The 27,843-nt window shown below is 42.3% G+C and overlaps 1 protein-coding gene across 4 annotated transcripts in view; it reads left to right on the top strand.

Moving 5' to 3' along the window:
* Window positions 1-27,843, top strand: part of ABCC4 (ATP binding cassette subfamily C member 4 (PEL blood group)) — a 281,617-nt gene that overhangs the window by 213,438 nt on the left and 40,336 nt on the right. For all 4 annotated transcript variants that reach the window (NM_001301829.2, NM_005845.5, XM_047430034.1 and 1 more), the window contains 6 exons: window positions 4,724-4,874; window positions 12,463-12,582; window positions 13,690-13,800; window positions 14,710-14,810; window positions 16,161-16,352; window positions 25,155-25,310. In NM_001301829.2, coding sequence (NP_001288758.1) covers window positions 4,724-4,874; window positions 12,463-12,582; window positions 13,690-13,800; window positions 14,710-14,810; window positions 16,161-16,352; window positions 25,155-25,310 — 831 coding nt within the window. The remainder of the gene's footprint in view (window positions 1-4,723; window positions 4,875-12,462; window positions 12,583-13,689; window positions 13,801-14,709; window positions 14,811-16,160; window positions 16,353-25,154; window positions 25,311-27,843) is intronic.

The raw sequence follows: 27,843 nt of genomic DNA, 5'->3' as shown, positions 1-27,843 counted from the left end.
GATGAAAGGAGTGATTAATGTATCCCAAGGGAAGGACAAGTTTAGAAAAGCTTAGAGAATGTTTGTTTAGATCTTGTCATACACAGAAGACATACCAACACTCCATAAAGTTCTGATTTAAAGGCATTCACTGGGTTGGATGAGGTAACAAAAAAAACAGATGTAAAGTAGAGATCTCCCCAGGTGGGACCTGGGAACCAGAGTTGACCTCTGAACTCCCTGAGGCAGGTGAGATGCTACAGTAGCACATAATTTACATCTGCTGACTTAGTGCTGATGCTGTCAGTATTTGGGCTTAGGAGCTTACATTTAAGTGTCTTCCATATTGTCCCTTTTGCTTCTATTCATCCTGTAATTGAAGGTAATGATAATGATTTGACAGAATTACATTTTTATTTCTTAATATTCCTGTCGGTTTGTATACCCTGTTCATAATTTTAGTGGCTCCAGAAGAAATCCTGTATTAGCCAGGAGCACAACCTGTTATGTTAGTCATTTCATTGAGAAGTAGGTTTTATTTTTTTTTGAGACAGAGTCTTGCTCTGTCACCCAGTCTGGAGTGCAGTGGCATGATCTCGGCTCACTGCAAGCCTCAGCCTCCCAAGTAGCTGGGATTGCAGGCATGCACCACCACGCCCAGCTAAGTTTTTGTGTTTTTAGTAGAGACGGGGTTTCGCCATGTTGCCCAGGCTGGTGTTGAGCTCAGGCAATCTGCCTGCCTTGACCTCCCAAAGTGTTAGGATTATAGGCGTGAGCCACCGCACCCTGCCAGTTTTTTGTTTGTTTGTTGTTTGTTTGTTTTTTGTTTTAGTCTCATGTGTTCCCAAAATAAATAAGTAGAAGAATTTCTTCTGCCACCCTATCAGTAAACACCTTACTGATCAAAAACTAGTGGGCAATTTTTTTCTCTCTAAATCAGAAGAAAATCTTGCCATAGTCTCTCACCAAGAAGTGAACCCTGCTTTGTTTATTACACCTAAGATTTGTCTTCTGCGAAGTCAGTAATCGTTTAAAGCAATCTGGATGATTTGTACTTATCACAGCTTAGAACACAATTCTTCAGTGGCTTACAGCAGAATTAAAAGCTTTCCACTTTCTGTGAGGTGTTAGCAACCTTAATGATCCTGATTTTATGTTTTAATACCATAAACAAATCATGAAAATACCATCTACTGATTAAGTGACCTCATGATTAAATACATATTTCATCTTGTACCTAATAGAAGGTTGACAGAGAGAGGGAGAGTTCAAATGAGGAATAGAATGAGCCAGAAGGATGGATGGCATTTTTATTTGCAGAAAATAGGAATACATTTTTACTGCTGTTTATAGAAAACATGTTCGTTGGCACAAGCTTCACAAAGACTAGCAGGAACAGAATCCCACAAAATGAAGTTTAAAGTAAATAGTGGATAGATACCTAAAAATTTCTCCAGGACTCAAAGCAGTTTGGTGGTTAAATGCCAAACAGGCATTGTAGTTAAAATTATGCTTGTTAAAAGAATATGTTCCATTCTGTAATGTTCGGATACAAAATTAATTCTAGAAGAGTCTGCCGGGGGAAATTTTATATTTTTCACTACCATTCAAATATAGATATTGAATATGAAATGTATTCAACCTTCATTTTGTGTCCTGAGGTTTTATATATTTATTAAAATGTGGTTCTTCTTTTTTTCTTAAGTCATTTTGTTTTCTGGGTCTAGAACTCATCTTTTTGTAAGACTTTTAGATGTAAACAATAATTCTTAAATCAATATGTGTTGCCATGTTCTATTAGCAAATATTTTAAGACTTTTTAAAGATCAGCTCTTCTTTTTGAGCTGAGAAGTCTGTTATTTCCTAATTAGCTGGGAGCTGGGATTGGTCACCTCACTGAGAGACCAGATATAACCACACACACACACACACACACACACACACACAATAACCTTAAAAACTAGAGAATTCAGAAAACAAAAATATAAAAAATACAGATATATTTCGGTATTAAATGCTTTAAAAATATGAATCGTGTGTAGGATATAGTATCTTGCAGTGATTAAGAGAACAGGTGTAAGGTCAGTATGACTGAATTTTCTGTCTTTGAGGAAGTTACTGAACCTCTCTGAGACTCAGTTTCCTCCTGTGTAAATGGAGATGATAATCCCTCCTATTTAGATATGAGAGTGAAGTTAGATAATGGATGCGAAATACATATGTACTAAGGTTTGGATATAAGCAAGGCTTATGACATGTTGCCTCTTCTTGGTTTTTGGGAGGGCAGGGCAATTGTACCTTTCTTTGGCTGTCAGCTAGGTACAGAAAATTGTGGGTGGCCTAGTAGGCCAGATGCTGGGCTGGTGGGTCAAGATGCAGGTGGTGGTGCTGAGAAGACACACACAGAACTGCCTGTGTTCCCGCAGCAAGCAAACTGTGATTGCGACCCGCAAGTGATTATTTATGCTGTACTTTCTGGTTGTCTGTTAAACCTGCCTGTGAAAATCAGTTGTAAGTCTTCCTTAGAAACCTCTACAAAGTGTGCATGTATTCCTCCTTATATTTCTTTTTGTTTGTTTGTTTGTTTTGTTTTTTGAGATGTAGTCTCACTTTCTCGTCCAGGCTGGAGTGCAGTGGCACCATCTCGGATCACTGCAACCTCCAGCTCCCAGGTTCAGGCAGTTGTCCTCCCTCAGCCTCTCGAGTAGCTGGGGTTACAAATATGCGGCACCACACCCGGCTATTTTTTTTTTTTCTCAGTAGAGATAGGGTTTCACCACGTTGGCCAGGCTGGTCTCCAACTCCTGACCTCAGGTGATCCACCCGCCTCTGCCTCCCAAAGTGCTGGGATTACAGGTGTGAGCCACCACAACTGGCCTCTCCTTATATTTCTATAGCACTCTGTACTTTCTGCTGAAGTCATGTACTTTTATGTAAGACAGTGAACTTTGGAGGCCTCAGAGCATGTATAACGTGAATCTGCACGTCCCCCACTGTTCTATCCTTCTCAAGAAGCAAGCGTTGTGGTTTCAGAGTAGGTAGGGACTAACTTGAGTTGCACTCATATTTCCCGAAGCCATAGACCGTGATATCACATGTTTCCTAATAAAGATGAATACTGAAATGAGCATCATCCAGTGTCTTGGGTTTTTATGCTTCTTGCTTTTGTTTTTATATTTCACCTTTTAGACCAAGGTAATTTCCAAAGATAATGTCACCTTGCTGGGTGAGGTGATGGGTAAGTGAACATTCACAGACCCGTTAGCACAGTGCCTTGCACGTGCTCATACATGTCATTTGCTATTGTTATCATGTGCCTCTGAAATAGACGTTTGAAATACTCTCCTAATCGTGGAAAATTTAATGCATATCCAAGTGTTAAAGCTAAAAAAAAAACCCTGTTAGACATTTTGACTTGTTTTCTTGTTATCAAACCTCTTCCTCAGTGCTACTAAATGTAAGAGAAATAGAAGACAAAAATTTCTGACAATATAAAATTCAATATATTGTAATAAAAAGAAAAAAGTCTCAGGTCTTTTAAAACATGTAAAATTTAATTACATTTCTCTTATCTATTCTTTATTGGGCATGTTAATGAACTCTAATTTCTTATGTAAGTGTGTTTAGGGGAAAAATTAGAGAAAAATTCAGGGATTTTATCCTGACCAATAAAAAGCTAGCCGTATGCTGGGGACAAGCTAAAATGTAGTGGCTGACAATGCATGCTCCTCAGCTCTGTGACTGGTGCTGTGTGTTCTTGATCAAGTTACTTTTTTCTCCCTGTGCCTCAGTGTCTCCATCTGTAAAATGGTGTAGTAATACTACTTCATAGGGATATTGTGAGATTTAAGTGAGTTGATACATGTGTATTTAATATACAGCCAGATATACAATCAGCATTCAGTAAATGTTAGCAAAGGATAGATACCAAGAGAGATGACTCCCCACTTCCAAAGGTGAAGATTTAAATTATTTCCTTTTTTTCTGAGCACTGAATTTGCAATTAGTCACTTCCTTATCCCGTGCATAGCTGAGGCTTCTGGGTTCCTTGTCTATGATGCCTGCTTGCTCATTTCCCGCATAACATCAACTGACTCATGATAGTTTGGGATTCAAGTCCTACTCTAAATCTCAGTTTTCTCATCCATTAAATAGGGAAAGTAATAATGCCTGACTCATGAGGCTGGTGAGTGTTTCAAAAGAACTAATGGGGGCCTGGTGTGGTGGCTCACGCTCATAATTCCAGCACTTTGGGAGGCAGAGGTGGGCAGATCACTTGAGATCGGGAGTTCGAGACCAGCCTGGCCAATATGGTGAAACACCATCTCTACTAAAAATACAAAAATTAGGCATGGTGACATGCACCTGTAGTCCCAGCTACTCAGGAAACTGAGGCAGGAGAATCACTTGAACACGGGAGTGGGAGGCTGCAGTGAGAGGAGATGGCACCACTTCACTCCAGCCTGGGTGACAGAGCAAGACTCCATCTCAAAAAAAAAAAAAAGAAAAAGGAAAAAAAAACCTAATGGATAAGTTTATATCATAGTGTTTGGCACATGGCAGGCATGTAATAGATATCATCAGGACCACCTATACTTTTGTTATTCCTTTGTATGGAAAAGCAGTCCCTGGTACTACAATAAGTCTTTCAGAGAAAGGAGTGTAATCCTAACAACAACTCATGCAAGTATTTTTGAAAAGAATACTTGATAAGGAAAACCTGCATCTACTTCTGCTATTTCAGACATTGCTACAAGTGGTTGGTGTGGTCTCTGTGGCTGTGGCCGTGATTCCTTGGATCGCAATACCCTTGGTTCCCCTTGGAATCATTTTCATTTTTCTTCGGCGATATTTTTTGGAAACGTCAAGAGATGTGAAGCGCCTGGAATCTACAAGTGAGTATGGAAACTCGGGTTGGTATAGACATGCTAGCTAGTTTCCATTTATGCCATAAATTACAGAGACCCCCTGAAATTCGGCAGACTCTGTCTTCCAGAATTTCTCTAACATTAGGTAATTGAACGTATTGGCCATTATGAATCATTGTGTCCCTTAGAGCATGTGGAATTGATAGCCTGCAACGTGCAACTTTGCATTTGGAATAAGGAAGGAGTGAAGGCCATATGGGGAGTAATATTCTACAGGAATGTCAGCACTGTGAAGACAGGGACTCTCCGTGTCTTGTTTATGACATACTTTCTTACACAAAGCCGGCACTTAATTAAACATTTTTCTTAGAAATAAAATATTTGATCATGGTGAAACTAATATAGAAGGAAAATAATTAGGGTATTTTAGTATCTTTCCCCGAAGATACTAAAAATGACAAGGAAATGAGAAGGATGGAGAAAGGAAAAGAGGTGTCAGAAGCAATGTATTTGGTAAATTTATGACTTTTGCAAACTCACAAAATGGCTAGGAAGTTGCAGTTTTAAACGTTTTGAAAAGATAAGCATTGTTATTTTCAGTTTTCCATTTGTTACCAGCGGTGCTTGTTCTAATGTCACAGTTTGAGGTTTTTCCCCCTCAGGCTGTTTATATATATATGGACACTGAAAATAATCCCCTTAGATCACAAGGAGATATATCAGTTTAGAAAACATATAGTCTGTTGCTCTCTTCAATTTCCTAGTTTTGGAATCATGAGGAAGACATTTTATGATTAATCACTCTATTCCACATGTAATCGCAGAGATGAAATAATCCAGAGTTCATCTCATTATGCATGCACAAATTAACATATTTCATCATTGTTAAACACAAACTCATAAGGAGAGTAGAATTGCTTTACTTTTTAATAAAAGGTATAAGGATAATAGCCAAAAAATAAAGAAGGAAGATATTTGTATCAGAAAAGCTGAATGCCAACTCAGCTCTCTGGAAGCCACGCCTAGAAGAGAAGCATTGAGTCCCATCATTTTCAGTATCTTCTACTGAGTGGTAAATAGAAGTTTATTAGGACAAAGCAGTTTTTGGTTGTGACATATATATGTTTCTCTTTTAACAATGAACATTTATTTATTTATTTATTTATTTTGAGATGGAGTCTTGCTGTCACCCAGGCTGGAGTGCAGTGGCGCAATCTCAGCTTACTGCAGCCTCCACCTCCTGGGTTCAAGTGATTCTCATGCCTCAGCCTCCCAAGTAGCTGGGATTACAAGTGTGCACCACCACACCTCACTATTTTCATATTATTAGTAGAGATGGGGTTTCACCATGTTGGCCAGGCTGGTCTTGAACTCCTGACCTCAAGTGACCCACCTGCCTCAGCCTCCCAAAGTGCTGGAACTACAGGTGTGTACTGCTGCACCTGGCCAACAGTGAACTCTAAGAGGCATTTATCCTAAGTGTCTGCATGAAGTAGAAGGGGTGACAGTCCATAAAAGTTGTAGAAAAACTTTTCAGTCATCAAGAAAACCAGCTAAGCTACCATGAGGTCTAGTCTTGTAAGGTTTTCAGTGGGCAGGCCGAGCAGTGGAGTCCACATGTGAGTAACACTTGGCCAATAGGACTTGCTAGGGAAGGTAGAGTATAATTGCTGGGAGACCTTCCTTGTGCAGATGACTGGCCCTAGCCAGTGTTGTGTGTGGACAGCAAGGCTGTGCAGGCATTTTATGGTTTGGGCCCGCTCATGAAATGAAGTTATTCGAGAGTCTTGTTTTAAGGGAGTCTGTGGTATGTTGAAGGAAGCAGCCGTTCCAGAAGGAACATCTTGACGTAGACTGTCTGTGTCAACAGCCACATCCGATCCATGTGGATGTGGAGAAAAGGGGGACTTAGGAAGGCTTTTTGGGAAGCAGTGTAGGATTTTCTCTCTTGAATTTCAGCATGTACCTTAAAGCTTGAAAACATTTTCATGTGGAGATTCTGACAACCTTATCATGGCCCCTGAGGCATATTTGGGTGTTCCTGTACCCTGATTGGCTGTAACAATGAGTTAAATATGCAGGATTCTTTCTCCATGCGCTCAGATCACCAACCACGGGGGCTGGTTGGTTGGAACTATTTACTGTTATTCGTCCAGGGTGGTGGGTCTCTGCCATAAGTCACAATTCCACTGTTTCTTCTCAGCAGCAGTGGATCGTGGTTTTTGAGACCACTGCTGGAGTCACCAGCTGAAAGCAGGATGCCTGACTGCCGTGGCAGGGAGGCATAATCCAGCTTCATCCTTGTGCCCTCAAGGATTTCCAAAGCCTCTGTTGGACTGCCTCACTGCCCCTGGAGTCATAGCCGGCATTTAATGAATCTTAATAACAAATCTGGGCCGGGCGCATTGGCTCACACCTGTAATCCTGGCACTTTGGGAGGCCGAGGTGGGTGGATCACTTGAGGTCGAGAGTTCGAGACCAGCCTGACCAACATGGAGAAACCCCATCTCTGCTAAAAATACAAAATTAGCTGGGCGTGATGGTGCATGCCTGTAATCCCAGCTACTTGGGAGGCTGAGACATGAGAATCTCTTGAACCCAGGAGGTGGAGGTTGCAGTGAGCTGAGATTGTGCCATTGCACTTGGCAGGCTGAGGCAGGAGAATCACTTGAACCCAGGAGGCAGAGGTTGAGGTGAGCCGAGATTGCACCATTGCACTCCAGCCTGGGCAACAAGAGTGAAACTGAAAAAACAAAACAAAACAAAACAAAACAAAAAACAAAAACAAATCTGCAGTTGATCATTTTATGTTTGCAAGAGTCACCACATCAACAGTCAGTCATAGAGAAGTACATAAAAACCGGAATGGCATTTGGCTGCATTTCTCTAGCCACCTCCACTCATTTGGCAATGCCTGAAATGTGAAGCCGTATCCAATTTCTGTTTGTAAAGATATTGTGATCCACTAGCAATGTCTGCCATGAGTGTGAACCCATGTGTCCCATGTTCGTTCATCCTAGATTCCCAGGGACTTTGTTCAATGCAAGGTGGTTAATAAGCGGCACAGGAATAGGGAAGGCTGTTGGATATTAGCTAAGTAAGATTAGGGGATTTTTAAAGCGTGGGCTACAAAGTCTGGAGAAAAATGCCCTCAGGATGCATGAGAACCTTTAACTCTGATTATTCTCTCTCTCTGATACTGTGGCTCAGATTAAAAGCACAGCCTTGGAAATAAAACAGATATGAGTCCATGCCCAAGTCTACCACTTGCATGGCTTACTTTACTTAACCTTGGGCAGTGTTTTTTTTGTTTTCTTGTTTTTGTTTTTTTGAGACATAGTCTCACTCTGTTGCCCAGGCTAGAGTGCAGTGGCCGTGATCTTGGGTCACTGCAACTTCCACCTCCCGAGTTCAAGAAATTCTCCTGTCTCAGCTTCCTGAATAGCTAGGACTGCAGGCACCCGCCACCACACCTGGCTAATTTTTGTATTTTTAGTAGAGACAGGGATTCACCATATTGATCAGGCTGGTCTCGAACTCCTGACCTCAGATGATCCACCCGCCTCAGCCTCCCAAAGTGCTGGGATTACAGGCGTGAGCCATCGCACCCAGCTTTGGGCAGTGTTCTTAATGCCTCAAGTCTGTTTTTCCCTCTGTCAAGGATATAATACTTATGAGGGTTGCCTGAGACTGCTTGGAAACCTTGAACATACGGGAACTACCAGAGGCACTATAGCCTTGAGAATTAAAACCGTAATAACCCTGAGAGGTCCTACACAGCGTCAGTACCCCGCAGCAAGACTGGTAGACCAGATCTTTGCATGCAGTTCCTTTTCATGTTCTTTTCAGAGAAGACAGAAAATCTCTGTAGAGTGTATCCTAAAGAGTTCTCTGTGTTGTGGAAAACACAGCTATTGATCTTGTCAAATGGCAGGTTGTGTCAGCTGGAAACTGCTGACTAGTACGTTAGAGCTGAGGCTTGACATACGCTCTCCCTCGGTACTAGTTAGTTGTCTTTGCAGACCTCCCAGCTCACCCTCACTGGCAGCCCTCTCAGCCCTAAGTGGGGTGTGAAAGAGAAAGGACTATCTTTTCAAAGGTTACAAATTCCTGCTATACCTTGGTAATTTGGTGTGAATTAAAGTGTGTAGCTTGATCTTCATGATATTCCCGGGTGTTCCAAAACTGGGATGGTACCTAATTTCTCAAGTTGACCCTGCCCTGAAACCCAGTTGGAGATAAAACAGTGGCGACTTGGATCTCCTGATGAGGAAAGCAAATGACAATAGCTATGTTGAAGAATTTCATTCCAGGACTCTGTCCCCATGACTGCCACATCTCCTTCCTTCTCAGTGGCATTCTCTATATGATGGACGCGTTCAGTCACAACACTCCCTTGCTCTGGAGGTAAGAGCATGGTTCTAGTGATTTCTCTGAACTACTGGGAGCCAAACTCTTTGTAGGGTAATGGGGCCTGGAATTCTCTTGTGTTATTCCTAATATCACCCTGTTTCCAGATTGACCAAGTTCCAGGGTGCAGGCTAGAACATCTGGGGCGTGCAGAAAAGACCTGTGCAGAACATCCAGCCTTTCTCACAGAAGCACCAGCTCAGTCCTCTTACGGTCATGTCACCTGCCACCTTCCCAGTGCAAAGTTACAGGTTATAGAGAGCTGACACAAATAACGAGTAAAAGGTTACTCTGTGTGTTGAAGAGTCATCTTTTTGTTTTCTTGCTTTTGTTTTTGTTTTTTTGAGACATAGTCTCGCTCTGTCACCCAGGCTGGAGTGCAGTGGCCGTAATCTTGGCTTACTGCAACTTCCACCTCCCGAGTTCAAGCAATTCTCCCGTCTCAGCTTCCTGAGTAGTTGGGACTACAGGCGCCCGCCACCACACCTGGCTAATTTTTGTATTTTTAGTAGAGACATTGTGGATGCCAGAGATAGAGAATAGAGAGAACCCTGTGGACTCGTGGGAGGCTCTCTGCCTGAATTAGACATAAGGGAAGTGCCAGATCACATTCTGGTGGAGAATCTATGCTCAGGGAAGGTCTGGTTTCTTAAAGCACTATCACAGGAGAGGGCCCCTAAAAGTTAGTGCCCCCAGTCAGATGTATCAGTCAGGAAAGAGCCCCAAGGATGGGTGGACAGTCAGTAACCTGCAGCTCCATCTGCCTTTCCCCAACCCAGGGCTTCCCACTTTCTCAGAACCCCAGTGTCTCATACCTGGCGGCCTCCTCCTTCACTTACGGAACTGTGGACTCTGGACTCTGATATATGTGGAACCTCCATGTCTTGGCACACTGGTACCCCAGCACCCCCAAATGTGCAGTGTCTGTGTGTACAGTGGGCACACCAGTATTGAGTCAGCTGTAGCACAGATCGGCATGGGGATGCTGTACTAAGAGTCCGACCCAGAAAATGAGTTAGAATTTTTCTCTTAAATTTTCCACTCCCTCCGCCCCTTACCCCCACCCTACCCCCTCATCATTTTATAAAACATATGTAGCCATCGCCTGTAAGATAGATTGGCCACGCACGGTGGCTCACACCTGTAATCCTAGCACTTTGGGTGGCTGAGGCAGCCTGATTGCTGGAGCCCAGGAGTTCGAGACCAGCCTGAGCAATGTGACGAAACCCAGTGTCTACAAAAATATATAAAAATTAGCTGAGTGTGGTGGCACACCTGTAGTTCCAGCTACTCAGGAGGCTGAGGTGGGAGGATCACTTGAGCCTGGGAGGTTGAGGCTGCAGTGAGCCAAGATCATGCCATTGCACTCAAGCCTGGGTGACAGAGTGAGACCCTGTCTCAGAAAAAAATAAATAAATAAAAAGTTATCTTAACTTCTCCCGGACACCCCATGTTTTACTAACAGGGTCTTCTCTGGAGCTACACAGGTAGCAAAGTCAGTGTTTGCTAATTGCAAAGCACAAATCATTTATCTCAGAAAAGAATGCTAAAGACATTGTGCTAGGTCACGTGTCCCCAATATGCACCTGCCCCAGTATGGCCTCATTCATGGTAGACAATTGAAACTCTCAGGAATTCCTCCCTGCCCAAAAGTAGCTAGCCCTCATGTCCGCTGCTATGCAGGAGGGAGGTATGTCCTGGTAGTCATCAAATGGTGTGCTTGAAACACAGTGGCCTGCTGGAAATGGTGGCTCACACCTGCCTGTAATCCCAGCACTTTGGGAGGCCAAGGCAGGAGGAGGACCCTCATCTCTATGAAAAACTCAAAAATTATCCAGGCACGGTGGTGTGCATGTCTAGTCCCAGCTACTTGGGAGCCTGAGGTGGGAGGATCCCTTGAGCCTTGGAATTCAAGGTGGCAGTGAGCTATGATCACACCACTGCACCCAGCCTCGGTGACAGAGTGAAATCCTGTTTCTAAAAAACCCAACAGGCCAGGTGCGGTGGCTCACACTTGTAATCCCAGCACTTTGGGAGGCCGAGGTGGGCAGATCACCTGAAGTCAGGAGTTCAAGACCAGCCTGGCCAAGATGGCAAAACCATGTCTCTACTAAAAATTCAAAAATTAGCCGGCCGTGGTGGTGGACATCTGTAATCCCAGCTACTTAGGGGGCTGAGGCAGGAGAATCGCTTGAACGGGGGCAGGTCGGGGCAGGGCGGCAACTCCCTCTTAAAAAAAAAAAAAAAAACCTACACCACACAAACAAAAACACAATGGCTCAAGGAGGAGCAGCTGGTCAGGGAACCTCATGGGATATACAGCTCCCAAAGAAAAAAGAAGTCACACAAAAAAGAATTCACTTCTTAAAATTCTGTAGAGATGAAGAACCCACTGAGACCACAGTCAGATTCTGAAAAAAGCAATGGCACATGCCATAGAGACCTCCAGAGATCAGGACAAGTTTGCAGTGGGGCAGTCATAAAAACATCTGTCCGGTTCCTGGAGCCAATGTTAAGACCATTCAGAGACATCTTGGCTGGGCAGGTTCCTTGGGCACGGCACAAGGGCATTGCAGCACCCAGGTCCATGGAGATCACAAAGGATTCTTCCAGCATGAGTGGGCACAGAAGATTCCCCAGGATGCAGGGAAGTGACAGTCTGTCTGTTCAGCTCACTTACTGAGTACATGTCCTGTGCCAGGTACCATCCAGTTACCAGGGTGCAATGGCTATAGCTGACCCTTGAGAAATTAGCAATTTAAGGTGGGGACAGACACATAGATGGCTAATTGTAATTCAGTATGGTGAGTACTCTTAACAGAGAATTGTTTTTTAAAATCCTACTGGCTCAAAAATCAGAAAAATATCATTTCTGCCCAAAGAGATGTCAGGGAAGAATATGGAGAGGAGGAAGACCTGGAAGGCTGAGTTAGGAAGGAAAGAATTATAACTAGATTTGAATGTGGTCAAAAATAGGACGTTTATTTCCAGGCCCCTTATGTGAGGTGTGGTTTGAGCAGGAGCTTGAGATTCCAGTGGCAGGGTCCCCTCAGGCTATTGGGAACATTTATTTTTCCTTGAAACATGAAGCCTCCTAGGAGGCCTGCGTGTGCTGTTTGGTGGATACGTGACCATGGAGCTTGGGAGGCCGCAGGTTTTTCTGCACCCAGCCTCACTGAGCTGTTTTCTCTGTCTGTTTCCCCAGCTCGGAGTCCAGTGTTTTCCCACTTATCATCTTCTCTCCAGGGGCTCTGGACCATCCGGGCATACAAAGCAGAAGAGAGGTGTCAGGAACTGTTTGATGCACACCAGGATTTACATTCAGGTCTGTCTATTTCTGGAAATGGTTTCAAAGGACAGGATCTGCTGCTTTTTCTGGCTTAACCTCCCTGGTCAGATGAGCTTGTTGGCAGGCACCTCAGGGCCCAGCCCCACATCCTGCTTTTTTTGCGCATCTTCGTCTCCTTCCCCATCCCCTTCTTCTGGGCTTGGACTCCTCTCGGAATCGCTGCTGCACGTTCCCTCTTTGTGCCCCCTGACTGGCTTGTGGGGTCTTTCTCTCACCATGCATGGCCTGTGGCTCTGTCAGCAAACGTTTTCTGCAAAAGGCCACCTAGTAAGTGTTTTAGGCATTGTGTGCCATTATTGTCTCTGTTGTGATGAATCACCTTTGCCATTGTAGCACAAAAGCAGATGTCAATACATTGGCAAATGGCTGTGACTATGTTTCAATAAAACTTTATTTACAAAAATAGGTGCTGGCTCACGTGCTGTAGTTTGCTGACCCCTTGCATCAGTGAAGATTTTTTCAATATGGAAATTTCAGAATTTCCACCAAATCTACAAAATTCAGATCCGTCATTCCAATCTTTATTTTATCTTGCTGATTAAATGGCACTTTAAAAACCACATGCTAAAAGGAAAAAAGAAGTAGCAAACAAACAAACAAAAAACCACATGCAAATCCTGTTAGTGAGGTCATTTTTATATAGCCCCTAAGCAATAGTCAGTGTGTGTGGGCCTTCTGGTAAGTATGGAAGGTGGGAGAAGTAAAATGGGAGCTGCACTCTGCTGTTGGAGAACTGGACCAGTCAACCATGTGTGTGGGTGGACTTCACATGAGATGCACTTCACATAAGTATTTCTCAGCACTGTACGAGATGTCCTTATGAGACTACTTTTCTCAGTTCTTTATTAGGATCATATTTCTGGGTTTCATATTCGCATGCATCCTCACAGAAAGCCACGGTACCATTGTGTATGTGTATCGTATATTGCCTGTATCACTTAGCTTTCTGGAATCTAAAGGTTCCTTGGGTGTGCAACTTTGGTGCCCTACTCCACGTAAAAATCTTCTGTAGCTCAACTGAGCAAAACACACTCGCACATTCATCTACTTATTCATCATGCTTATTACCGTTCTCAAATTCAGAGGCTTGGTTCTTGTTTTTGACAACGTCCCGCTGGTTTGCCGTCCGTCTGGATGCCATCTGTGCCATGTTTGTCATCATCGTTGCCTTTGGGTCCCTGATTCTGGCAAAAAGTAAGTACAGATGTGAATAACTATGTATGGTATGATTACAATTTATAGCTGTGTTTACATTTATTAAACTCTTGCCACCTTGTCTACTACTACATACTGTTTGGTCCTAATGAAGTGTATTAAATCATTTACGATGTGTCAGGTTGGGTAGGATTCAGCAGTGTGACTCATTTAAGGAGTCATTTGGGTCTTGATGGGTTTATCTTTCTTTGAATGGGTTGAGATATGCGCAGTTGAGATTCTGAACATTCCTGTTAGTGTCTGGTAGTTGTGAAGAGAAAACCAATTTATTCTGAAGCATTTTGTCCAACTTAGGGTGTTAGCCTTCCAACTACTTGAATCTATTGTTTGTAGTTGCCTGGTGCATGAGGTTGAGAAAAATTCTCAGCAGGAGAGTATTATCTTCAATGCCACATGGGTACCAGACAAGCAGGGCATGAGTTCACCACCCCAGTAACAACAGTGCATTACAATACTTAATAATGGAACAAGGAGAGTAGTATTTTAGTCTCAAAAGCATTGGCACTTACAACCTATTGCTTTGTTTTTAGTGGTTTCCAGCTGTGGTTGCATTGCACGTAGAAAGTGGAATAATGTAATGAGCTTTGAAACCATAATAATGAATGTCTGAATAATGACATTATTTCTTGCGTTTGTAATACTGTTAATTAAATCTATGTCGATCCTGTTGGAATTCATAAAATCATCTAAAAATTTTTCTAAATATACAGTGTTGTTTTCCCCATTGTATCTTGATCTCAAGCAACAAATGGTAAAAGTATAGCTATTAATGTCATTAAATGTGAATTGTTTCAACATTATGAAGGGTTCCTCTTGGTAAGTGGCAGAAGGAGCCAGGCTTAGGTTTGAAGTGAGACTGACTTTATTCCCTTCTTCCTCCTTACGTAGCTCTGGATGCCGGGCAGGTTGGTTTGGCACTGTCCTATGCCCTCACGCTCATGGGGATGTTTCAGTGGTGTGTTCGACAAAGTGCTGAAGTTGAGAATATGGTAATATTTACCTTCACGTTCTTTGCCTTTTCAATCTCCTTGCCATTAAATGGTATAAAAGCCATTCTTATGTGAAATATTAAAACTGTTATTTTTACATCTTTGGTAACAGATTTTTTTTAAGATCCTTCCTCCATCTGTTTAAAGTTAATGTAAAATAAAATATATACATCTTTTTCTGAGTCTTATGGTTGCTCTGTCAGCAGGTTTTATATTCATCACAAGCTTTTTCAGATGTAATAAATGTCTCTGTAGGAGGGAGGTTCTGAAATTCTAGAGAGGATATAAGCTAATTTCTTAGAAGCCTGTTTAATTTTGTTTCTTAACGGGTAATTCCTCATTCCTGTTAAAAGAAGACTTCAGTATTTTGAGGTTGTTTACATTTAATTAATAGGTCTCCTCCTCTCCCAGTTCTAGCGTTTACTCTCTTATGTGAAGAACAGAAGGGAGGAAGGCCTTAACTTTGCTGGTGTGCCTTCTTGGTACAGAAAGCCTCCTCTTGGAATGTGCTAGTCAAAGGGTATTAGTTTATGGTGGTATAGGAGGCTTTAATCAATGTTTTAAATATTTGCACCTTCCCCTAAAGAGAGAAAAGCAATAAACATAAAAATCTTTTCATTCTTCTCATAGAGCAAAAGTTGAGTAATTATTACAGTGAGGTTTCACGATCATCCAGTTTAACTGACCTATATCAGGTGATCCTTCTATAGCAAAAGATTCTTTTTTGGGGGGTAGGGGTGAGGGGACAGAGTTTTGCTCTTGTACCCCAGGCTGGAGTGCAATAGTGCGATCTTGGCTCACTGCAACCTCCGCCTCCCGGGTTCAAGCGATTTTCCTGCCTCAGCCTCCTGAGTAGCTGGGATTACAGGCATGCAGCACCACGCCCAGCTAATTTTTGTATTTTTAGTAGAAATGGGGTTTCACCATGTTGACCAGGCTGGTGTCAAACACCTGACCTTAGGTGATCCACCTGCCCCGGCCTCCCAAAGTGCTGGGATTATAGGCATGAGCCACCGCGCCCAGCCAGCAAAAGATTCTTGATTGGTGGCTCTAAGTATTCCTTTCCTTTACAAAATTTTCTTGCCTTTAATACAGGTGTGAGAAGTGGATAAATAAAATCTAAGCATTCATTTCTCTCATTCTTTTAACCTAATGTTGAAGGAAGTGGTTGTAAGTGAAGGTGTTACACAATGATGAACCAAATTTGTAAGTCATCAACATCCTCGTCTGTCTCCTGCTTCTCTCCTTAACCAACTATGTATGAAAGAAGAACATTTCATTGACAGTCTCTTAACATCCATAAATGACACCCTCCATTCCTAACCCCTCGGGATGTCATATTTCTTTCAGATGATCTCAGTAGAAAGGGTCATTGAATACACAGACCTTGAAAAAGAAGCACCTTGGGAATATCAGAAACGCCCACCACCAGCCTGGCCCCATGAAGGAGTGATAATCTTTGACAATGTGAACTTCATGTACAGTCCAGGTGGGCCTCTGGTACTGAAGCATCTGACAGCACTCATTAAATCACAAGAAAAGGTTTGTTTAAAGCATCTTGCCTCTTCTCAATTTCAGAAGATTTAGTGCTATGTCTGCTTGTTGTCTTCCTTGTGGATGTGTGAAGGGGATCAGTGATACGTAGGTTAACCTGTCTTGGAAACTAACCATGGAATGTGGATACCAACATTCTTCCTGCTGTGAACTGCTTTACTGTGGTTGGTGGGCCCCGGGCCTCAGGGCTGGAGCTTAACGTGACCCAGGATACTCTGTTTGATACCTAATTACTCATGGATTTTTCCAGGAAGTCAACTCTGGCTTTGTGTCACCAACACTCCTATGTCTAATTCTGTCGATTTTTACTTTGTTGCATTTCTCAAGTCCTTCTCTTCCCCTCCACTGCTGCAGCTTCTGTTCCAGCCTTTCTCCTCCTCCATCCTTTGGTCCTGTATTAGTCTGTTTTCACACTGCTGATAAAGGTATACCCAAGACTAGGCAATTTACAGAAGAAAGAGAGGTTTAATGGACTTAAAGTTCCACATGGATGGGGAGGCCTCAGACTCATGATGGCAGGCAAGGAGGAGCAAGTCACATCTTATATGGATGGCAGCAGGCAAAGAGAGTTTGTGCAGGGAAACTTCCCCTTATAAAACCATCAGATCTCATGATACTTATTCACTATCATGAGAACACCACAGGAAAGACCTGCCCCCATGATTCAATTACCTCCCACCGGGTCCCTCCCACAACATGTGGGAATTTAAGATGAGATTTGGGTGGGGACACAGCCAAACATTATCAGGCCCTTTCCTTAGTCTTTCTTGCCTTCCTTTAACCTGTGCTTTGCTTTCCCTCCCCATCCCTTTCACTGCAAACTCTTTCTTTCTGAAACAGTTTGATCACAGATCTGATCCTTACGTGGCCAGCTCCTTGCCTGGGTGAGCAGCTGCTGCAACCTTAATGAGCCCCAGGCCCACCCTGACAGGACCTGTCTGGCTCTCAGCCCCCAAGGGAAGACCCAGATCCCATGACCCCATCAGTGCTCAGAAATCAGACCCCCAAGCTGGAGGCAGTAAAGGCACCAGAGACTCACTCAAAGTCAGTGAAAGGAAAACAAGGAGGGACTTGGGAGGCTGTGTGGAGTTTTGTGAGCTGGTTTTGCAGGTATCTAAGTCTGCCAGCAATGTCCCTTTCACATGTGTCCTGGGGCCCTTGGCTAGGACTAGGACAGCCTCTTGAAGGAACTAAACCAGAACAAACAAGACAGTAGAATCTCTTCCCCTTCCCACCCCTCTCCTCACAACTCCCAATATGGACACACATCCCCTGCACTCAGGGTGCCCTCCTTCTCCCCAAGCACCTGTCTGCCTTGCTCTTAGTGTGCACCCTTTTCAGTCAGTTCAAGCATCTCTGCCTCTTTGAAACTATATTCTCCACATCATCTTATAGATTCTTTTTTCGAGACAGAGTCTTGCTCTGTCGCCCAGGCTGGAGTGCAATGTCACATTCCCGGCACACTGCAACCTCCACCTCCCAGGTTCAAGCGATTTTCCTGCTTCAACCTCCCCCGTAGCTGGGATTATAGGTGTGCACCACCATACCCAACTCATTTTTGAATTTTTAGTAGAGACCAGGTTTTGCCATGTTGGCCATGGCTGGTCTCGAACTCCTGAGCTAAAGTGATCCGCCCACCTTAACCTCCCAAATCATGCCTGGGATTACAGGCATGAGCCACCATGCCTGGCCAGATTCTTTAATGTAACATCTGTGGCCCACCCGTGTTCATAACAGCATTATTTGCAGTGAGCAGTAGGTGGAAGCAGCCCAAGTGTCCATTGACTGAGGAATGGAAAAACAAAATGTGATACGCACGCATAATGGAATATTATCCAGACTTAAAAAGAAGGTGATTCTGACACATGCTGACATGTGTGATTCTGACATGGATGAGCCCTGAGGACATTATGCTGAGTGAATTAGGCCAGACACCTAAGGACGGTGCTATAAGGTTCCACTTACATGTGGGTACCTGGAGTAGTTAGTCATGGAGACAGAAAGTAGGATGGTGGGCGGCAGGGGTAGGGGAATGGGCATTAGTGTTTAATGGGTACAGAGTTTCAGTTTTACAAGATAAATGGAGTTTTAGAGATGGATGATGGTGACGGTTGCCCAACAACATGAATGTATTTAATATAATTGAACTGAACATTTTCAAGTGATTACAATGATCAATTTTATGTTACTTTACCACAATTTGAAAAGTACATAAAGTACCTTTTGTGTATTTTACCACAATTTTTTTTTAAAGAAGATAGCACGATGGCATGATTTATAATTCTGGGTCAGCATCTCACAGTACCCTGAGCCTCTTAAAGTCAGGGAGCATTTTATATTCGTCTCTGTACCCCCAGAAAATGGCATGCTGCAGGGCACATGGTGGGTGCCTGTGAGAGTGAGGGATATGCACATACAAAGAAATCGGTAACAAAACACACACGACAGCTCCCGCAACAGCCCGTTCTCTGGGTGTCAGTGTTAGATACTTTCGGAACTGCTCTTTTCAGCTCTTCCCACCACAGACCCATTTAATGGGCTATAGTCACAATTGAATGAATGATACCCTTGTGCCATGAAAAATAAATATACAGCTTCATGCCCAGAAGATACCCAGGGAACCAGCAAAAGCTGATTCCTCATTATCTACCCAGCATCCTTGTGAGTGTGAAGAAGGTGGAGACCACTCTGCAGGCAGCATCAGCTGTAGCTCTTGCTGAAAGCAAGGTTTCTCAGATTCTGTTCCTGATGGGGCCAGGGGGATGTTTGCTTACTCTCAGACAATGTGTTATTAGGTCCTACCTGATCAACATCATTCTGTTAGTTTGGCCACGTTGTAAATTTCTCTTGTAGCCATAAAATATGAATTATCTACAAACCTCTGTTGTACACATTAGAAAACAACCTATATCCCCACATTGATATCGTTCCATCTTAAAACCCCCCCAAATCATAGGATTACCTGAGATCTGAAATGTGGGAGGGTAAATTGAATTTGAAGACTGAATTATAGCTACAACCACTTGGCTTTTGAGACAGAGTCTCGCTGTGTCATCTAGGCTGGAGTGCAGTGGCGCAATCTTGGCTCATTCTGCCTCTCAGGTTCAAGCGATTCTCCTGCCTCAGCCTCCCGAGTAGCTGCAATTACAGGCACCCGCTGCCATGCCTGGCTAATTTTTGTATATTTAGTGGATCCGGGGTTTCACCATGTTGGTCAGGCTGGTCTTGAACCCCGACCTCAAGCAATCCACCTGCCTCGACCTCCCAAAGTGCTGGGATTACAGGCATGAGCCACTGCGCTGAGCCCCACTTGGCTTTTGATTTGTGTCCTGGTTCACTCACAGTGTCACCTTTAGCTTCATTTGTGTATTCAGGCAACATCGTGGTGAGTTGGTTCCACTTTTTGTGTGTATATTCAGGGTTCGTCTCCTCCACACCTGCCTGCAGCCCCAGGATCTCAGGCAGTCCCTTTGCTGTTGGAGCTGATGGAGAGGGGCATTGTTTCCAGTGGAGATGTAGGAATGTGTCCACACAGCAGAAACAGGGCTTCATTCTCTTTCAATTGCTTCATCTGCTCAGATTTCCTGGACATTATAACAAATAGGAAAAAGTAATAGGCGCTAAGTAGGTTTCTAATTCACAGAAGAAATAGCAAGTAAAAAAGAATGAACCAAAATGAGGTATATACCACCCTAGCCTTCCTGGTTAGATTCCAAACACTGGCTGCATTTTTCATTTAGATGGTTTTGTGGTTGATTTAATCATTTTAGAGAGTACTGGGCCATTTTAAAGCATTTTTCAGCTCTAGAGGTAGATTGATTTTGGTTTGTTATTTTTTTTTCCTTGCTCAAAGCTATTACTTGGATAATACCTTTTTACAGATGTGTACTAGACCTTGCTATAGTGTGCAAAAATATTAGTTTCTTATATTCTCTCCTTTTTTACATTAATGTTTGCTGAGAAACCCCTCCTCTCACAGCCAGATTGTCCCACTTGCCCTGCCTGCTTGCTCATCTCAGGGGCTGGGATCAGCATCACCTGCCTCTGCTTGGAAACATGTTAGAAATGCAGACTGTCAGGCCCACCCCACCCTTTTGATTAAAATTGCACTGGGACAAGAACCACCCCCACTCCTGCCCCTGCATTAAAGCCGTTGCTCTCCGGTAAGCAATTTTGGATGACTAATAATCTGTGATTTCCAAGAAACTTCCTTTGACAACTTGAAGTGGAGCTCGTGGATTGCCCCAGCCCCTCTTGTGACTAAACATGAGACTCTGGATAGTCCTGGGCCAAGTGCCACCCTACAGGTTTTTTGTTTTTTTACTTTTATATTCTGCAAATTATGAATTTACATTACAATTTAATTCTGTGTGATTCCCCATTTATGCATTCATTTGCACCTTTCCGGTCATCTCTGTCTTCTATCACAGTTTTCATCCCACCATACAGCCTTCCATGAATAGCAGTCTCTGTCCTCATACCAGCTCAGCACAGCGATGTATTTGAGTTCCGTTCACTACTGATGGGATCAAAATGGGTCTCACTGCCCCACAGTACACTAGGTCTGTCTGGCCTGTTTCCCAGTTGCCCCATGTCCAACGTAGCTGCAGGCTTCTCTCCCAGCCTCTTCTGTGGGTGCCAGTTCTTCCTGTCAACAGCTGTAATCCACCCTAATACAGGTACTGTCTTGGCTCACAGTAGTCAGCTTCTTGTCCTAGCCACCTTCTTATACTCACGCATGTCCACAGCATGCATTAAATGTATGACAATAGGACCAGTATGGCAGGCCAGTGCCTTTAAAGACAACCACACTTCTCCCCGCTGTCTCCCTTCTAGCTACACCAAGGGAATACAGAGCCAGGCTATCCAAGTGATTGGGAGGCCATCGGCAGAATGGGCAAGAGGCAGGCAGACTTGGGTTTCCGTCCCATTCCATCACTTAGGGGCTCAGTCATTTCAACAGTTTAATCAATCTTACTAAGCCTCGATTTTTCTCTTTTGCAAAATGCAAGTGATAGGGCCTAGCCATTAGAGTTTTATAACTTAAACAAGATAAGAGGTGTAAAACACCTAGCTTATTGTATACCTGAACAATATGGCAATAGATTTCCCATAAATGTTTCAAGCCTGAGTTAAATGCTTAACTCTCTGGGGGATTTCTGGTTTTTTTTGCAGGACACCACAGGTGATACAAATAATACAAAGCTAATTCCAATATAGGCCCTGCCCACAGCACCTGTCGCCTAGTAGAAGAAACAAAGTAGTATATAAATGCCTGCTCCGTAAGATAGAAGGAATTCGCAGATTTTATGGCTGTTTAGAAAAGATGTTACGACAGCCATTAAGTGTGGGAGAAATCCACACGAGGGGACAAGTGGAGGATTTTAAGGCAATTACACATTTGAAACAGACTTTAGAAGGTGGTTAGGATTTCAGCAGGTCGAAATGCATGTGAAAGGCACGATGGCATATGCCAAGGCTCGATGCCGTGATTTGATATGAAGAATTAGGCATCTCTGAGCATACAAGGGCATGAACTACCAGGTGAATAACACACATGTGCACACTTAGTCCTCACAGCCACCCCGCAAACTCAATCCTGCTCATGGAGCTAAGGATGGAAAGGTTAGTTGGGACTGTTTTGTAGAGGAGGTTTCCCAGTGTGGAGTGCCAGGCAGAGAGCTGTACTTCGGAAGTTTAATCTGAGAAATGAGTGCACGGGGAAGACGCTGAAGGCCTGAAGCCAATTGATTTTATGTACTGCTGGCAAGATGTGATGGGGCAAGTGATTCCACTTTGTAGAATCAAACTAATGTTGATTAAAACAAAGTTATAATACCCTGGTTAGTGAATTTGCAGGGATACAGGTGGGAGTAGAAATTGGTATCATATTTCTGGAGGGTAGTTTGGCATCACTTAACAGCCTCCTTTGAAAATGTTCATACCTGTTCCTCAGCAATTCCACATCTAAGAATTTATTTTAAGAAACCAATTAAGATTGCTTGCAAAGATGTAGCTTCAAGGATATTTAACATGGTATTATTTACAATAGCAAAATATTGGAGCCTAAACATCCACAAATAGGGGATTTGTTGAATAAATAATCATATATACTGTAATATTATGTAGCTACTGAAGTAAATACTTTTATTAAATAATAGATTATAATATTCTGTGCATATTCTCATTTTGCCTAAATATATGAGATTATATCTTTAGGAACACAGATAACTCACACTCAAGTTCAGAAAGAAAAGGTATTAACATGTGACAAGGATTCTGTCAGATTGCTGGGGTTGTGGCCAGCATTTATTTATTTTTCGAATTCACTTGCACTGATTATAACTAGCAAAAGAGTTTTTGTTTTTCAAATGTTAATGCAGCCTTGCACTGAGGTAATGGCTGCAGAAATTAAAGTGAGGGTATTGAGTCAAGAAACAGAACAAGTAATATTTTTAGTGCTTGGAGTTGAGAAAACCTGGGAGATGGGTGTTTTGAGCCTGTGAACTTGGGGAAGAATTTATTAGATTAAAATGGAGGAGTTAGAAGCAGCAGCTGTTTGGAGGGGGGCTGTTGGGTATTAATCATGTTGAGTTTCATATATGAAGAGAGATCCAAGTACAAATGTCTAATGTTTGGCCAAAGAGACCACTCTTGGCCCAGTTGGGGAAACAAAAAGGGTCAATTGTAAAGCAATTAAAATAAAACTAAGTGTCTCTTTCGTGTTATGAATGTAAACTTACTGATATTAGTGATATTCTCCAGAGGATTTGGTGAAACCCATTGGTGACTTATGAAAGACTTGGAGACTGTAATTTTGATGACTTTGAAGAGAACTAACCAGAGCCAGGTTTTCTTTGGTTGCCTTTTGCTGATTATATCCTCACCTGAGTTTGGAGTGCCTAGTCTTATGGTTGTAGGCAGCCCTCAGTGTTCCCTACCTTTGAGGGGGTCCATCCTGGCCATCTACTAATAATGGCCTACAAATGTCCAGGTTTGCACAGATGGATCAGTTTCCCATAGAGCTGATAACATGAGTGTCCACACATTCTCAAAAACACAGCATTTGTCTATGTCTAGATACGTGCTGATTTACTGAGAAACACACATAAGCCCCACACACACACACACACACATACACACATACACGTGTGTGTGTGTGTATGTGTGTGAGAGAGACAAAATATAGTCAGGTATTTAATATTTGGAAGTTTCTCTACCAAAGAATGTGTCATCTTAAATGATAGAAGTCTGGAAAAATGAATACCTGTTTATGTCACTTGTGACACCTCTGTCTTGAATTAATATCCCTGTGAAATTATCTCAGAAATTCAATTGGTGTGTGTGTGTGTATATATATATATATATATATATATATATATATATATACACACACACACACACCCGGATGTACCTATGTGCAGAAAATGGCCCACCTATAAAGTATAAACTAGGATTTACCATAAGGTAGAATATGACTCCAAAGTTAATAAAATTAGCTAAAGCCACTTTTTAAACATTTACATTTTTATATTTTGTACATGTATCTCTTTAAAGATAAAATTCCTTGTGGAAATGCCATTATTGACTTTACAGATATGGAGGTGTTCAAATGAGGTAATATGTCACATTTCCAACACATACCCAGTGCCCAGTAAAGTTTTGCAGTGAGTTTTAAAATTTATTAAATAATGGACAAATGATTGAAGGCATGTTTTATGTCCTTCGTTGACTCCAGATTTCTAAATAAGGAGGATGTCATTTCTTGGGAAGTTCCCACCAGGAAATTTGCAGTTGTGCAAGGTCATTGGTGCAGAGGCCAGTTTCTGCATACAGATTTATATGCACACATGTGAAAGCCAGTTTTTACAATATAGACGTATTGCCCCCACCTTTTTACCAGCATTTTATTGATTCTTTGATCGTATTGGCAGTGCACTTCATTTCTCTCTGTCTTGGCTTTAATAGAGGAGTGATACTTGACACAAATGTTTCTCAAGGGGCAATTGTAAGTATTAATTAGTTTGCAGCATGCCTTTTGAACTGTGCAGATGAAAGGCCTTACGTAAATAGCAAATGTTACTTGCGTTGTTGTTGATCTCATTATGTGTTTTTTGGCTACTGGTTACTACTGTCTTTTAAGACATTGCAATCTTCACTTCAGAATTTTGAAACATTTTGAGACAAAATATAGGCAGATATTTAATATTTGGAAGTTTCTCTACCAAAGAATATGTTATCTTAAATAATAGAACTCTAGAAAAATGAATACTCGTTTATGTCACTTCTGACACCTCTGTCTTGAATTAATATCCCTGTGAAATTATCTCAGAAATTCAGATTACTCAGATCCTGCAAGCAAAGCTAATTTAAAAGTTGCCTTTTCATGGGCCACTTAGGAGACTGTTGACTTTTCAATGCCAGTAAACAGATTCTGTTATTTTCAACTCTTTTTTAGAACAGTGGATCTCAACCAGGGGCAGTTTTGCCCCAGAGGACGTTTGTCAGTGACATTTTTGGTGGTATCATTTTGGGAGTGTGCTCCTGGTATCTATGCAGTAGGGTCCAGGGATGCTAGCGAACCTCCCACAATGCCTGGGGCAGCTTCCAAAATGAAGAAGTATCCAGCTCAGAAGGTCATCAGTGCTGAGGTTGGGAAACTCTTAGACTACACTCAATATAGAATGTCCTTAATTCTTCTTCAAAAACCGAAAGTTTTCTCCTAGTTTTGCTGCATCCTGTGATTTTTTTCTTTTTTTTTTTAATCCTGCCGCCTGGATCTCTCTGTAGGTTGGCATTGTGGGAAGAACCGGAGCTGGAAAAAGTTCCCTCATCTCAGCCCTTTTTAGATTGTCAGAACCCGAAGGTAAAATTTGGATTGATAAGATCTTGACAACTGAAATTGGACTTCACGATTTAAGGAAGAAGATGTCAATCATACCTCAGGTATGCAAGTCATAGCGTCCTTACCTGCCCCTTTTATAAGAGCTACTATGTTTAATTGCTTTTACTCTTATTGCTTTTTTTAATTGGATGAAAGGATTGTTTTTTTTTTCACCCAATAGAGCATGTTTTTATGAGCAGATATTTTCAACAGGTATTTTCATCAGATATCCAGCTTTGTTCATTTCTCTCTCTCTCTGTGTGTGTGTGTGTGTGTGTGATATTTAATAACTTACGCAGATAGATTTCTGTACTAAGATGCCACAGTTTTATCCACTGATAACCATAAAGAACAAAATGATGCATTGTTTGTTTAGCACTGGGGAGGTTTCTATGGGGAGATGTGGATTTTAAGTGTCTTAATGTTGGAATTTTGCTGTAGGAACTAAAGCTACCTTCTCAAAGGTGATTACCTCCATGAAGGGCTTTCTGTGAAACTGTGGGCTGTGAGAGTTAAAAAACTTATAGTTGGCTTTGTGGTGACTTTTAGAATCTAGCTCTTGGTGAATGATTTTAACCAGGAGGTTGTTAAAGAATAGCAAGGAAGAACATGAGAGACGGAATTCCATCTCTCTGCACTTCTGCTTCATCTTCCTTACGATCACCATTGTGAGAGTGTGTGGTGTATTTCACACAGACCCAGTGAGTGTTTGCTCTGATGGTGGAGGGTTAAATTGGCCATCCTTTCCCGGACTCTGATTCTATTTTCTTTTCTTCTCCTTTGCAGAAGTGACTCTCAAGGAGTGTTCTAGAGATTGGATTATTTGTACAATAAGAGCTCCTGTCATTGCTTTGGTTCATATTTAACATAAATTCAGAAAGTATTCATTGAGTAATTACTATTCTCCAGGTGTATAGTCATGAGCAACATAGACCTTGTCCCCACCGGCATGGGGTCTGCAGCTGTGGGGCCTCATGGCTTCCATCGGACCTCACAGTTCCATCCTGTCCTTCACTTTAACACCTCCACATATTCAACTCCAGACATGGCTGGGTTTTTTGTTTGTTTTCTTTTAATGTGGGTTTTTTTTTTTTTTAACACTCTATAGTCATTGAGGGGAGCTGAGGAACACACACACACACACACACACACACACACACACACACACACAAACACATATTCTGGAGAAGAGAAACACAGAGAGGAGACAAGAGCAAAACCCAGGCAGTAATGAGCTTTCTGGGCATGTGGATATAAACAACTCTTCAATGCCTGTTTAGTAGGAAGCATAGAGAACGTGCCACCGGAAGGGAAGGAGAATGTGATTTTTATCTTAGACCAAGTACAGTTATGGCTATCCTAGCACTGACCTCTAAAACAATTGGAATCACGCTTAAGTAATTTGGAGGATGTGAAGAAATTGGAACCCTGTGCACTGTTGGTGGGAATGTAAAATGGTGCAGCCACTTTGGAAAACACTGTAGAGATTCCTCAAAAAATGAGAGCTAATGTGATCCAGCAGTTCCACTTCCAGAAAGAATTAAAAGCAGGATCTCAGAGTTTTGTACATCCATGATCATCACAGTACCCAAAAGGTGGAAATAGCTCGTGTCCATCGCCAGATGAGCAGATGAATAAAACGTGGTCTATCCATACAATGGGAAATTATTCAGCTTTAAAATGGAAGGAAATCCTGACAGTCTATAATGCAGATATACCCTAAAGACATTATGCTAAGTGAAATAAGCCAGTCACAAAAGGACAGACACTAGATGGTTCCCCTAATATGAGATACCTAGACTAGTCAAATTCACAGAGACACAAAGGAGAAGCGTCGTCACCAGGGGCTGAGGGAAGGTGGGGGGTTGGGAGTTACATTATTTCACATAGGACTTCAGTTTTGTCAGATGAAAAGCGTCTTGTGAATGGATGGTGGTGATGGCTGCAAAACAGTGTGAATGTCCTTAAGACCACTGAAATGTTGACTTTGAAATGGCAAAAGCAGTAAATTTTATGCTATGTGTATTGTACCACAATTTTTATTTTTAGTTTAAAGAAAAAAAAGTATCCCTTTCAGGATAAAATGGGAAGAAATGTTTAGCACGTTAGATTCCCTCTGGCTATTAGAAGCATGACTTAGTGCTTACAGTAGAAAATGAGAGTATAAATTCTCAAGTTTTATATTTTGGTTATGCCCATCTCAAAAATGGGCCAAATGAGGTTTACTTAGCAGAGATAATGGGCATGTCTGTAAAGTGCTTTTATATCCTTGGATGAAAGGTTCTAGGAACGTGCCCTGCATTACTTTGAATGAATTCTTAATAAGAAATAGTTGTGTGCTTGTGTACATAAAAGAACTCTAAATAAAGAAGTAACATTAGATGATTCTTGGCTCTGCCAGTAATGTTTTGGAAGCACATCTGAGCAAAGACTAAATATACCTTGACATCACCAGGTTTTGGTTCAGTTCCATAAGTTTCCACCCTACTTTTGAGCAAATGCTCTATGTATGTAGTCCAGGGAGCATGCTTACAAAACACTGCTAAGCTTTGTATCCATGTAGATCCTGATCTCCAAGCATTGTAAACAGAGAGA

This window comes from Homo sapiens, chromosome 13 (assembly GCF_000001405.40).
Source record: "Homo sapiens chromosome 13, GRCh38.p14 Primary Assembly".
Classification (NCBI taxonomy): Eukaryota; Metazoa; Chordata; class Mammalia; order Primates; family Hominidae; genus Homo; species Homo sapiens.
The sequence above is the reverse complement of the archived record's forward strand: the minus strand, read 5'-3'. Positions and strand labels throughout refer to the sequence as shown.